The sequence below is a fragment of the Homo sapiens genome, chromosome 6 (assembly GCF_000001405.40).
Source record: "Homo sapiens chromosome 6, GRCh38.p14 Primary Assembly".
In the NCBI taxonomy this organism is placed as follows: Eukaryota; Metazoa; Chordata; class Mammalia; order Primates; family Hominidae; genus Homo; species Homo sapiens.
This window is the reverse complement of record NC_000006.12, coordinates 25,317,385-25,332,375: the sequence shown is the minus strand read 5'-3', so window position 1 is coordinate 25,332,375 and position 14,991 is coordinate 25,317,385. Positions and strand designations below refer to the sequence as shown.

Genomic DNA, 14,991 nt, shown 5'->3' with positions numbered 1-14,991 from the left:
ACAATCGAACCACTTCCATTTTTGCCTACCCATCTTATTCACTACAGCTTTCTCAGTGCCCAGCACATGACAACCACTCAAAAAATATTTGTAAACAAACGAGTAAATGGGGAAAAGGCTCCTAGGCTGGAAAGACAAAAACAGCAGATTTCCAGTTCATCACTACTTTTATGACTATTATGACCTATCTTTAGATTTGAGGCTCCTGGCAACAAAAGTCAAAAGGCAAATACACAATAGTCCTAGTGATTCAGGAGGCTGAGGCGAGAGGATCACTTGGAGTCCAGGAGTTCAAGGCCAGCCTGGGCAACAGAGTGAGACCACCTCCCCATCTCTAAAAAAACAAAATTTATGTTTTTAAAAAACCAAACACCCTATTATTTTAATTGATTCTTTAAACGAAGCACACAAGATTTTTAAATGAGAAAAGTTCTTTTTTCCTGGCACTAAATGCTAAAAGCAATTTAGAATATGAACTATTCATTTAACAAGTATTCATAGGTCCTTAAAGAAAGCATTGAATTGCAAAACAGACTTATGATTCCTTTAACAAACAACATGGACCTGAACTTCACAGTTGGCTTCTCATATCAATTTGTAAAAGCCAAAGACAAGCATCAAAAATTAAAGTAAGTGGGCTTCAGGGAGTGTAGAATAATGGGGTCCAGTCACGTAGCTTTCTAGAGATCTAATAGGAAGGACTGAACTTCGGCTCCCTTGGGGGACGGATGCCTCACGGGTCCTGCAAGAGACTCAGATTCTTGCCTTCCCACTCCCATGGATTAGCTCTGGGGAACTGCTGAAGGATTTTAAGTAGGAGAATGATACACTTGGATGTGCAGTTCAGAAAATCACTCTGGCAGCTGTACAGACAATGGATCAGGGTGAGGTCACAGCCTGGGTGGGGCTAATTAAAAGGGTACTGAGGTTTCCTGGAGAACAGCGATGACAGCCTGAACTAAATTTTAATAGAACTTAGTACCCACAAAATCTCTTTAGCCTATCATGGGCTGCAGCATCAGTGGAGCGTCTATCATGGAGGCAGTGCCTCAGGAACAGGCAATCCTTTCCCAGTAAATACTGTGCAGGGCTTTTCACCCCCACCTGCTACTGAGGTCCTGGCATAACACATAACATTTGAGTTGTGCAGCTCCTATATGAAAATAAACAGAAGAAAAGTTGTTTTGACAGCAGGAGGCTGGAAGGAGGCTTAGAGTCAACTAGTCCCAGAGTACAAGCAAGGGAGATACTTCAATCCTCAACTTCCTCAGGGGCAGAAGAATATACTGAGTGCCTCCTCCCAGGAAGTTTGCTGCTTGTTGTTGAAGAATGATTTCCCATAGAAACAATATTATAAGCAAACAAATTTCTTCTTTCTACAATTTATCTTGATAAACATGATTCACTTCTGGGAAACTTTTAGCAAAATTACATTACAGTAAGTTCCCTTCTCCTCCCTCCTCCTCAAAAAAAAAAAAAAAAAAAAACCTCTTGAAAATGTAAAGCAGCAAAATAATAAAATTGATCAATCTTCCTCAATCTAAGTCCATAATGGAGCATCTAAAAGCTGGTTCTTCAAAATGGCAAAAGGTCAGCACTTCCAAAAAGTATCTCACCTAATGAGGGGGTAAATCATGGCTTGTGCCACTCCAGATCCCATCCTCATCTGTCTTTTTTTTTTTTTTTTAATAGAGATGGGCGGGGGGGTGCGTCTCACTATGTTGCCCAGGCTGGTCTCGAACTCCTGAGCTCAAGTGATCCTCCTGCCTCAGCCTGAGAAAGTGCTAGGATTACAGGCATGAGCCACCACACCCAGCCCCTCACTGTCTTCTAAACCAAAAATGATTTTCTAACTTGGTTGAAACCTTCCTGGTCTCCCAGCCTCCAGTTCTGCCACACTGTAATCCAGTTACCAAGCTGCAATCAAAATGGAAATCTGATCATCTCTCCCCTTCTTCCCTGGCTCCCCAAAATCTTCATCAAAGCCTTCCATATCTTAGCCCTTCCTGCATCATCTCTGTTCCTTAAATTGAACTTCACACTTTAAATCCCTCTCCCTCTTGTCATCACTACCTGGCCAGCTCATCCGGGCCTTAAGGCTCAACTCAGTCATCACCATGGAGCATCCCTCTAGCCCTGCACTGGGCCAACGCCAGTCTATAATCGCACAGTACCATGGGCACACCTCTTACCACACCGTACTGTTCAAGTCTGCATGTTCTGTCTTATTTATCTTCCTGCCTCTGGTAGCAGCATAAAGCCTGACACATCATGAGCATTCAATGTTTACTGAACTAACTCCAGAATGAAACTCTCTTCTACTTGCCCTCAACTCCCTACCTTCAATTTCCTGACCTACAACAGTGTCCTCAATGTGTTCTTTTAACAATGAATGTCTGACGCTGAATAGGATCAAGTGCTTTGCACAAGTTCATCATTAAACAACTCATATCAGAGACTAATGATAATGAGCTGATGCCCAGACTGGGAACTAAAACTTCGCAAATAACTTCTCATATGCTGAATCCCCTGAACAACTCTGGAGGACAGATATCCCTGTTATCTTTTCATTGTTTTCTTCAACCCTATCTTTCAAAACACACATACAACAAGAGCTGAGATACTTTGAGTATCTTTGAAAAATTTTGTCTGAAGCAAGAAGAAATCTGCATTTAGGTATCACTGATGAGGTAATCAGAATTCTTGTTTGACTTCTCCAAAAGATCCCTGATGCATTCAATTTACATATGTGCTTCCTCTCAGCCATATCCTGGTCTGAATACCAGCAATGTCACTTACTAGACAGACTTTGCTCATGTGCTTTTACAAGATAATACAAACTTCTGAATGTGTCATGTCCTGATCATTTAGGCTAAGGATCAATGAACTCAAATGTATAAGGAGGCCAAAGTAGCTTTGTCAAAGAGCAAAGCCGGCTCTGTGGAAAAAACGACAGCCTTGAGGACAATGACAAATTGCAGTCAACATGGGCATCACGGCCAATGAGAAACACTAGGGTGCTTTCGGGATGGCAGAAAGCTGAAAAGAGCTTGCCACTGCTAAAAGAAAGAGCCTGGTCACAACCCAGCTCTTCCGATTCCTGCTAAGCACAAACATAGACCTAGTGTTCCCAGATCCAACTTTCTTTTTTTTAAAGGTGGGGGAGGATGGAATCTAGATTTATGGCTGATATCTCCCAATTTATAAATATTGGGAACCAACATCAATTTTTTAAATACTGCGTATTTAAAGCACAGTAGAGCAGGCTGCAAGCCACCAGCCTGTGACATCTGGCTTTACGCCTAAGTTGCTCATTATCATTTTAAATGGCCCACTGATTCTTATAAACTTTTGTCTTCTCCAACATGACAGAAAGATCTTTTGTGACTGGAAATACATATGACCCTCCTAAGACTGGCACCCATTGTAGAACCCAAGATTTGATGTCCTGGACTCAGGAATAGATGGATTAAAGCATCCATGTTAATTAACATGAAGTTTTGTCTAGCTCACCAATCCAGGAGATTTTTTTCCCCTCTCATTGCATTTTTTTTAAATTTTTAATTATTATGACTACATAATAGTTATATATATTCCTCATATCTCAATTTAATTACCACAATCACTGTTTTTACAAGGTCCCAGGCAAGAAGAGGTGAGGCAAATGGAGGCTCTGAGGAAAGTGGCTCCAAAGCCTACATGATGGAAGATAACTCTGGAAGAGAAAGAGATGACGTTCCTAAGCTTGTATAGCAAAACTTGAGAGAAGGTAACGAAGATGTGACATCTGAACTCAGAGAAATATAACTTCTATAGAAAAGAAACAAGGCCTTGCAGCTCTATAAGGAACAGTAAATAAATCAAGTATGCACACAAGAAGTAAAAAAATATATCCAAGTAGAAAGGAAGCTTTTCATGAAATGTCCACAGAGCTCATGCTCTGTAGTGACTGTAATGCAAGATTCAAGGCTCTATCTAGAAAACTCCTAGCCAGTCTTGACGGACCAAGCCCTACACTGAGCATGTACAGAGTCTTCCTGTTCCATGCAGTACTTGCTAACAAAACTAATTTAAATGCCTTACCATGACTCGATCTCCTTTAAAGTACCTCATTAGTCCTTGATATCCCTTTGCTGTATCTCTGGCTTGCCTTGCCACTGCTCTGTGAGTCCCCACAACTCCTCCTCCACACATACTCTTCCCCCAAGAGCTTGGCACAGAATAAAGATCCATTTTAGATCTGGATTTAAATAGTTTTCTTTACTAGCTCATTTCCTTATCTACTAATGAGGGAAATACCACCTACGTCAGAGTGGGAATTAAATGAAATAATAAACCTAAAGACCCCAGCTCAATGGTTCAAACATAAATAATGCCAAATATTCATTCCTCTCCCCATGCCCATATCCTCTCACCAAGCCCCAATGTTCTATAGCTTATGACCCAAAACGCTAAAAGTAGAACATTCTAATATTGAGCATATTAACAGAAGCTTGAAGAGATATGCAAGTTATAAATCTGTTTTTGTTCTTCCTCACCAATATAAATTTGCTAAGTGACAGATTAAGACAGTCAATTCCAAGAAGTTGGATTCAATAACATGACATGAGGCACAAAGTAGCCCATATCAATAGCCAGGAATGATTTTATTGCAGCTTGTTATGCTAGTTGCCAGGAATTTTTTTTTAATCTTGAATGTTGCTTTAAATATAGTAATAAAAGAAAATATGACCGGCTGTTGAAGCCCATATGCTACTCCTTTTCAGGACTACAAAATGCTCATTCAGACTTTGTTTGTGCACAGCAAATAGTAGCCGGAGGGGAGCCAGTGAAATCAATGAAAACTTACTGTTTGGAAAACTAGCAAATAGAAAATTGGGGCTGTGTTTCTCTGGTTTCTTCTAATCTAAAACCTGTGATGGAAATCAAGTTGATTCTTGACTTTTTATTTCAATTTCACTGACAGTCCAAATAGAATGCCTAGTGATCTCTATGCTACAAATCTCCGCTTCATCATACAAATTAAGCACAGTTGATCACTCTGTTCCTGAAATATTTCCCCATGAAACCAGTTTCCTGGTTTTCTTCTCTTCTCTCCCTGGCCGTTCTTTCTGTTCTTTTGCTGGCTCTTGCTCCTGTGAATGTCAAGAGTTCCTTCCAGCTTGGTCCTTTGCCCGCTCTTGCACCCTCTCTCCTTGCTATCTCTCTCCTTGGTGATATCACACCTATTTCAATTGCTTTAAATACTCCCTGTACACTGGCAAGTCCCAAATTCCTTTCTGGAAACTGTATCTTTCTGCTGAGCTGTATTTGAAACTACATCTTCCCTCTGGACTGTACGCTCATTTTGCCATCAACAGCCAACATCTTCACTTGGACATTTCATGAACACTCCAAACGCAATGTGTTCAAAAGTTATGTCCTTTTGCTACCCCCACCAGTCTCCCTCATCACAATAAACAAGGTCCTTATCAGGTTGCAGTGAGCCAAGATCATGCCACTGCACTCCAGCCTGGGTGACAGTGGGATTCCGTCTTGAAACATTAATAATAATAATAATATTTCTGATTTCTCCTTTTTCCTCAGCTCCCATATACAAAAGTCCTATCATCCCTACCTTCAAAACATACACCAGAATCCATCTACTGCTTACCATCTCCTCCAGCAATCCCTAGACCAGTGGTTCTCAAACTTTTCTGTATATCAGATCATCCAAAGGACTTGTTAAAGCAGATTGCTGAGTCCCACCTCCAGGTTCTGAATCAGCAAGTCCATAATAAGACTTGAAGTATGCATTTCTTACAGGTTTCCAGGTCATTCTGATAGGGCTGATCCTGAGACCACACATTGAGAAGCACTGCCCTAGACCAAGCCTGACCTCTCACTCCCACTACTGTTAACAGTGTAATGCTCTACTTAGAAGCCTCAGTAATCATTTTAAACATATCAGATTATGTTATTTCCCCAGTAAAATCAAATCCAAGCTCCTTACTGACCAGTATATGTAATCCAGCATGACTTCTTGGATATCCCGATGCTCTTGCCTCATGGTTCTTTAGCTCTCCACTAAAACCACACACTTCCTCAGGGCCTTTGCACAATATATTGAATCTGCCTGGAAACCCCTTTCCCTCACTCTTCAAATGGCTGGCACTATTTTCCTTCAGGCCTCATCTTAAATGTTATTTTCTCAAAAATGTCTCATCTAGGCCGAGCGCAGTGGCTCACGCCTGTAATCCCAGCATTTTGGGAGGCTGAGGTGGGCGGATCACGAGGTCAGGAAATCGACACCATCCTGGCCAACACGGTGAAACTCCGTCTCTACTAAAATACAAAAAATTAGCCGGGCGAGCTGGTGCGCGCCTGTAGTCCCAACTGCTAGGGAGGCTGAGGCAGGGGAATTGCTTGAACCCAGGAGGTGGGGATTGCAGTGAGCTGAGATTGCGCCACTGCACTAAAGCCTGGCGACAGAGCAAGACTCTGTCTCAAAAAAAAAAGTCTCATCTGACTATCCTACACAGCTCCCCACCCCACTCCAAATTCCCTATCACTATACTGTTTTCAATAAGTTTTAGCCCTTACCATAATTAGTGTGGAAGTGTATGCATATGTTTGTCTCTTGCTGCCTAGCAAGACTAATCAAGCCATATCTGTTACATCTGCTGTATCTTCAGCACACTGTCTGCTACACGCTACATGCTGAATCACTTTTTGTTGTATAAATGGATGGATAAATTAATGAATAAATAATGAACTTTTCAGTAAAGGCAAAAACTTCTGATTTCTAGCTAACATAATTTTTTAAACTTCTAAGATTGTTCGAATAATTCCCTTTAAGCCAAGCAAATTATCTTCCAAACAAGTCAAAACAGTACCATATGAAAACTGTAGGGGAAAAAATGCTACTGAACACAAATCATTTCCACAAAAACAGACCCACAGCAAAACCCTAAAATCTGCAAGCAAATTGTCTTTTCCAGTATTTTTTAAAGATAGTTAAATATCAGCCTTCACACCAGATGACACTTTTACAAATATTCCCAGATTAAGCAGCTCATGGTATGTGACAATATGTCAACACCCTTTCATAGAATATACACTTCTGCCTCACATAATGGCACGTATTCAAGTTTCAATGAATTCTCTACCACACGAATATAGAAAACTCATCTCAGGGCACAGCTCAACAAATGAGAAAACGGCCTTTAATCTACCACCCATCAACATCTGAGGTCTAAGCAAGAATCCTTTAGTTTCCAGAAGTAAGTTTTATATAGAACTTTCTATTTTCCCACTAATATTCATCACACTAGAACTAATGTTGCCACATAGGAAAGCAAGCTCCAAAGCAGATGAAGGGGAGACCACTGAGAAAGCTCAGGACCTAAGAGGCTCTGCATGGCTTGGCCCCTGGTCACCCTCAGCCCCACCTCCCTATCCTAGCTCTTCCACTTCTGCCCAGTGGTCCTCTTAGGGTTCACTTCCTTGACCCACCCAAGCACACTTCCACATTAGGGTCTACATTCACACCTGTGCCCTCACCTGGAACACCTTCTCCCTCACTTCAGCCCTCTACTAAACACCCCCCCTTCCCTGACATATTATCTCCAACAGCACCCATCACCCTACTCCATCTCCTATCCTCCCAGCTCTTATGACTACCATATACTTTATCAGATATTTATTTTCCATCTCCCCAAAGCTTAGGGATTTGCTTTGCTTGTTGCTTTACTCCCAACACTGAGAAAGTGCTTAGCTCACAGTAAGCACTCAAATATTTTGTTACATAAATGAAGGACAAGTTACATTCAGCCCAATATGAGAGGAAAAGCCATGAAACTGAACAACATTCTTAGGATTGCTGTGCCAGGCTTAAGCATTCTGTAAAAATTTGCTGCTATTTCCTGACATCAGGAATTTGCTTCTCTTTTTCTTCTGATCAGGGTGTTTAATATCTAAGAGAGCTTTGCTCCTATAATCCCTCTATGAATAGGCATTCATGTTTAAGGCAAAAAAAAAAAAAAAACTTGTTGAATCTTGAGATGTCACATTCTTCAACATAATTACTGCTTTGCACTGTGAACTCTGACACCATTCAGGGCCTCCCCAGCTCTGTAAGTGAAGTGACTGCAGCAGTGTCCCTCCAGGGACATGCCCAAGTCTCCTCTCCACGCCTAGCATGGGATTTGCTACCCTCTGTGGCAGCAGCAGACAGGAGAAGGTGTTCCTACAGGTCTGTTCCTTTGTGGGGCATTAAACAGGGTTAACTCCCACAATTCATGATTACCTGGAGTATTATCTGAGCCATGGGCTCCCAGATGGAGGATCTAGACTTGGGATGCCAACCAGAACAGGCTTGTCCTCTATCTCTTTTCTCTGTGCCTTTTTGCCTTCTGCCATAACAGTCAATTACCACAACTGATCACTGCTCTTCCATCCTTATTTTATGAGCTAGAAAATCAAAACACCCTAAATCCTAAATTATCTTTAATCTCTTATAATTTGATGGTTTACATGTGAAAACTATAGTTGAAAGGGAAAAAAATGAAACAAAACAAATGAGCAAACTGTGCTTTGCACAGTGGGGAATGTGAAGATGATGAATGGAACAGTCCCAACTTCCAAAGGTTTACAATCTAGTGACTATCCATAAAATAAGCTGTCATGTTACTTTACTGGATAAAGTAACCAGGAACCATAGAAACCATACATCTATGATTTTCAGAAATATTTGCAACCATTTATAAATTCTTTAAGGACAGCTTTAACTAAGATAAATAACCAAGCTTTTTATGCTGGAGTGCAGTGGTGTGATCATAGCTCATGGCAGCCTCAAACTCCTGGGCTCAAGCAATCCTCCCGCCTCAGCCTCCCGAGTAGCTGGGACTATAGGCATGTGCCACCACACCTGGCTAATTCTGGGGGGTTTTTTGCCTTTTTTTTTTTTTTTTTTTTGTAGAGACAGGGTCTCGCTCTGTTGCCTAGGCTGGTCTCGAATTCCTGGTTTCAAGCCACCCTCCTACCTTGGCCTCCCAAAGTGCTGGGATTACAGGCGTGAGCCACTGTGCCAGGCCTTTAGTTCACATTGTTTTACTTGTTCCTTCTCCTTCTCACTGAGAATATTCTTTTCTACCAATACTTTTCCAGATGCTGCACCAGGTCAGGCACACAAGATAAAAGTCACTAAAAAGTAAAAACCCCACCTACCAAGCAGATTTTTGTGTCTGTGCGTCTATTAGAATTTGAGAACTACCTAGAGAGCAGGCTACTGAGAGAGAAACCTTCCAAATGAATCTGGAATTACTTGGGATATCTGCAAAACAACCAAGAATAGGGAGGAAAGGGTGCGCCTGGAAAAAATGAATTAATCCAACCATCACAATTCTAGCCCTCCTCTGAGTCTTCCCTAATACAAATGGACCATAAATCATCATGCTGCCTTTGAAGCTAAATGGAGCAACCTAGACACAAAGAGATCATGCCTCAGACTGTGCGGAATGCCACTCTGTTAAAAGATGAGATCCTGGCTTCACACTTGAATCAGTCCTGTGAAAACTGTGTGAATATTGAGAAGGAGGGGCAAAGAAATATAAAAAATGGAGCTTACAGGGTAACAGTAAGCTACCTGCACATCACAGAAATTCTGCTCTTTAGAGAGCTTCAGTCCAAGACTATCAACCCAGTAACTCCTCTGATCCAATCCTAGTTGGGCTGAAGAATGTACCACTGCAGTGTAGCATTTTTCAGGTGGTCATAATGTGGAGACAGTTAGTAAAGGGAAGGTTACAAGCTCAGAAAAATGCAGCATTCACTGACAGCCACACACATTTATGTTACCTAAAGTTTGTGTATTTTTGTGTGTGTGTATGTATGTGCATATGTGTGTTTGTATGTGTGTGATCCAGAGCACTTTAATAATCACTCTATTTATTCCTTTGCATAAAAGCAGTGAAGGCTGGGCATAGTGTCTCAGGCCTGTAATCCCAACACTTTGGGAGGCTGAGGCAGGCGGATCACTTGAGGTCAGGAGTTTGAGACTAGCCTGGCCAACATGGCGAAACCCTGTCTCTACTAAAAATACAAAAATTAGCCGGGTATGGTGGAGAGCGCCTGTAATCCCAGCTAATCAGAACGCTGAGGCACAAGAATTGTTTGAACCCAGGAGGCAGAGGTTGCAGTGAGCTGAGATAGTGCCACTGCACTCCTGCCTGGGTGACAGAGCGAGACTCTGTCTCAAAAAACAAAAACAAAAACACCAGATTTCTTTAAAGTTAACTGAAAGAGAGCCAGGCATGGTGGTACGTGCTATATCGCGGCTACTTTGGAGGCTGAGGCAGGAGCATCTCTTGAGCCCAGGAGTTCTAACGCAGCCTAGGCAACACAGCGTGACCTGGTCTCTTTAAAAAACAAATAAATAGGGCCAGGCTCAGTGGCTCACACCTGTAATCCCAGCACTTTGGGAGGCCAAGGCAGGCGGATCATGAGGTCAGGAGATTGAGACCATCCTGGCTAACACAGTGAAACCCCATCCCTACTAAAAATACAAAAAATTAGCCGGGCGTGGTGGCGGGCGCCTGTAGTCCCAGTTACTTGGGAGGCTGAGGCAGGAGAATGGTGTGAACCCAGGAGGCGGAGGTTGCAGTGAGCTGAGATCGCACCACTGCACTCCAGCCTGGGCAACAGCAAGACTTCAGCTAAAAAAAAAAAATTAAATTAAATTAATAAATAAGTGAAATAAATAAAATTAATTAAAAGAATGAAAGGTTTAAAACAGTACTGAATATTCAAATTTCCTGCGTTATCATTTTTAGATGGTATTTTTGTTATTTTATACAGAAAATTACCTTAACCTTTCTATTTGTGTAAAGTATCAGAGGCTGTAACATCCCTGAGCTTTATAATAACAGTATGCATTCACCATTAATGCACTCATTAATTCAGATGCCACCTTGTCTCCTCAAGGCTGGATCAGACCCTCCTCTAGGCTTTGGAAGCATCTTGTGTGGCCTCTAGCAGCGCTCACCAGAACATCCAGCTTACCTGTATGTCCCTACAAGTCTGAGAAGTCAAATGCAAAGACTCTATTCTTGTTTTGCCACAGAACCCCCTAAATTCCTCCAACCCCGTGGGTGGGTGCTCAATAAAGATTGAAAAATATTAAAGGATCACATTTTACTAGCCAAATATCATATACTATGCTACAGGGTGCTGTAAGTCTCCCCTCAAGGGGTAGTTTTGGAAAAGACAGGTACTCAGCTATTCAGGCAGAGGCCAGACAACCAATGGGTGGAGAATTCTGGATGTGTGGGGTGGGGGTGGGGGCTGGGGGAGGCAGATGAGTAGTTCAGAACAGTCTAGATAAAGCTTGTCCAATTCATGGCCCATGGGCCACATGCAGTCCAGGATGGCTTTAAATGCAGCCCAACAAAAATTCATACACTTTCTTAAACATTATGAGATTTTTTTGGCAATTTTTTAAGATCATTAGCTATCATTAGTGTTAGCGTATTTTACGTGTAGCCCAAGATAATTCTTCTTCTTACAATGTGGCCCAGGGAAGCCAAAAGATTGGATACCCCTGGTCTAGATCTTTAAGGTCCTTCCCATTCCTGGGATCCTTTGGAAAAGCCAAAGTCCACCCCTCCCACCTGCACTCCAGAGCAACTGGGAAGCAGCTTTCAACGAAATCACCACTTCCACCAAGAATGCTAAGGAATGTTATCCCAAACATCTGACCAGCCTGCAGGAAGAGGTCACTGCTTTGTTTCCTTTTCATACCTCACCAAGGCCAACTCAAACCACACCATTTGTTAGGGGTAGAGGGTGGATAAAATGAGGTGTTATATGTGAAAGGCTCAGAAACAGTTCCTGGCAAATGATAAGCACTCAATAGCCTTAGCTATTAAACATGTGTTTTCCATTTAGTCCAAATAAAGGTAAAACAAGATATTTTGGTGACAACCATTTTCCTTACTTCTGAAGTCTCTGTTACATTATTCAGCCACTCATGCAAATGAACAAACCTGGGAAATACAATCCTCAAACAAGCAAACAATACTCTCCTCTACAAGTCTAGGTCTTTGCTTTGGTAGATGTGGCCAAAGAACCAGGTACTGCTTTCTCTAACCCCACTAGAAATCACCCAATGTTCCCACTACTCCTCCAAAACCTGTTTCTAATGTAGACAGAGGGGTGGGCAGGAGGAAGAAGACAGAGAATATACTATCCTACCTACCTTGCTGGAGTGTTTTTTCTCTTCAGAAAAATGCCATAAACTACCACAATTAACACCATACTCCAGCATATTTTGAGTCTTTAAGCAAGATTGACCATGTTCATCGACTAGTTCTCATTGACTAATCTTCATTGACTAATGTCCGAACATAACATGTGCAAGTAAGTTTTCTTCATAGGCAGGGTAAACAGTACTTAACTAATCCACTTTCAGGGAGCGATAACAATATATTTCTTTAAAGAGGTGAAAATAGGCTGATGCAGGAGAATCGCTTGAACCCCGGAGGTGGAGGTTCAGTAAGCTGAGATCTCTCCACTGCACTCCAGCCTGGGTGACAGAGCGAGACTCTGTTTAAAAAAAAAAAAAAAAAAAAAAAGTGACCAAATGTAGAGATTCAGTATTTCTCAAATCGCAACAATGTTATCTCACTCAAGAAGTTATTCTGCAGAGGTTCCTATCTTCTAGGAGTCATCTACTCCTTTGAAAATGTAATAAAAGCTATGGGCCCCAGAAAAATGTGTATTAAATGTGTATGTACCTTTCATGAGATTAGATTAGGGCAGTTAGACTAAAAAACATATAACTCTCTGTGTGCACTGCCCTCCCCTACTGAAAAGACCACCATTCTCCCTTCATTACCTACTGCCAGATTTATAGGTGCCTTCCTGTTAAGGAAATCGAGCCCTTTGAAACTAGCACAACTTTTAATATCAAAGGGCATGGCTTAGAAGAATGCATGCTACAATACACAGCAAAACCTTACCTAAATTATTTTCCTAAAATTATTAAATATTAATATTAAATATTATTACTAAATAAGTCTCAATCATAAAAATATATTTTATTACTTGCAAACATTCATAGAAAGTCAGAACAAGAAGTCAGCCACATGATGCCCAGTACGGCCTGCAGAGCAAAGGATTTCTCTGAATAAATCAGAATAATTCACAATTCGTCTAATTAATTTACTCGACATGTAAGCTAAGGAAGGCTTCTATAGGCTTGAGTAGGATCCTTTAAGAACAGTCTATCCTCATAGTAATTTTAAACACGGCAGCTCCTTCTCATTTGATTTGCCCTCCTCTACCCAAATTAAATTGCCTAATTCATGAGTAAACAGCTAATAAGAGCTCACGGAAGTCAATGAGCCCAGCCTCAGAAAAACACAATTTTCAAATTTTGGTAGTCACTGAGTAAGGCTGCACTAAGTATAGGGTCCCATTTCAGGTCCAAAGAAAAAGAGCATTTCATCCTTCTCTGATTGCATCTGTCCCTGCTGTTGAGCACCTCACAAACCAGGGCAAACAATGGCTTTGAGGAGATGGGGCTGGGCCGACATCCAGACCCCCCAGGACAGCCATCTGTTCCTGACTCGCCTTCCTAATGCAACTCCCAGGAGCATCTCCCTGGCAAAGGGAACGCAGCTCCCACGTGGGGTCTCCCGGGTGGCTGATGGGTCTGGAGTTGTATTAGAAAATGGGACTCCCAAAAAATGAAAGAGATCTTGCTAAGGAAGTTCAGCCCGCCTCTCCTCTAGTGGTAGAAAACTTGAGGTACGAGGCAGAGAAAAGGGAACAAGAACAGGTTAGGTGCCTTCTGCAGCCACTTCACATTTCCCGGAGTAGGACAGATGACAAAGAGCTCAGATCAAAACAACAAAGGTCCAAGGCTTAGTTTATCAAGCTCCCCATATACAAGAAAAAATATCAAAAACTGGAGAGGACTGTTTTCAAAGCAACATCAAGGCCTGATAACCAGGGTCACATATATTCGTCCCTGTTCCTTACTCTCTGCACCTCACCCGTTGCCCAAATCAGTCCGCTTTGTCCCCAGTCTTTCCCTTCCCGACCTTCTCCTTTCCAATTTCAGCATGGATGCGGTAGTCTGAGACCACCAAGGCAGCTGCCAAACGGATGCCCTGCTGCTCCCCTTCCAACCCACTGTGCGCACAGCTGTCAAGGCAATCCTCCCAAGCAGACCTCACTCTTGCCCAAAACTTCCTCAGCCCCTCAACTCTGAACTGAGAACAAAATTAGAGACTGCTTGGTCTGGCACATTCCAAGCCCAATAGTCCTGCATATGGCTGATGCTCACACAAGGTCAAGTTCATAAAACAGAAACAAATTGAATACGCTTTACGGTTTCTACACAAGGTTAGCATTTACTCCCTCACTACTTCCAAAAGGAATTTGAGATGACTTAAAATAAAATGCAGATTCTAAAAACACAAGAATTAGACAAGAAGGAAAAGGAAAGTGAATTAGAAGCCCTAAATAGGCCAAGTGCAGTGGCTCACGTCTGTAATCTCAGCACTTTGGGAGGATAATGCGGACGGGTGACTTGAGGTCAGGAGTTCTAGATCAACCTGGGTGACATAGCAAGACCACTTCTCTACAAAAAAGAATTTTTTTTTTTAATTAGCCCAGTGTGGTGGTGAGTGCCTGTAGTCCTAGTCAGGAGAATGAGGTAGGGGTTGATCCCAGGAGGTGGAGGCTGCAGCGAGCTGTGATGGTATCACTGCATTCTAACCTGGGTGACGATGAGATCCCCCATCTCTATTAAAAAAAAAAAAAAAAAAGTCCTAAGTAAAGGAAAGCTTCCAACATATAGTTTAAAAAAAAAAAAGCTTAGGAATTTCCTGGAAGATGAAAAGAATATGGAAACAATATGATGTTATGGCTCTCACTAAATAAAAGCATTTAGGGTGGTGCAGTGGCTCATGCCTGTAATCCCAACACTTTGAGACTTTGGGAGGT

At 41.9% G+C, this 14,991-nt stretch overlaps 1 protein-coding gene and 1 long non-coding RNA gene across 21 annotated transcripts in view; one reads left to right on the top strand and one right to left on the bottom strand.

The window, feature by feature from the left end:
- The window catches only part of LOC124901281 (uncharacterized), a 124,485-nt gene extending 119,815 nt beyond the window's left edge, over positions 1–4,670 (top strand). Inside the window, exon 3 of the long non-coding RNA XR_007059512.1 lies at positions 3,639–4,670. This is a non-coding gene — a long non-coding RNA (uncharacterized LOC124901281). The remainder of the gene's footprint in view (positions 1–3,638) is intronic.
- The window catches only part of CARMIL1 (capping protein regulator and myosin 1 linker 1), a 341,157-nt gene that overhangs the window by 288,155 nt on the left and 38,011 nt on the right, over positions 1–14,991 (bottom strand). The gene's annotated exons all lie outside the window — the stretch shown is intronic.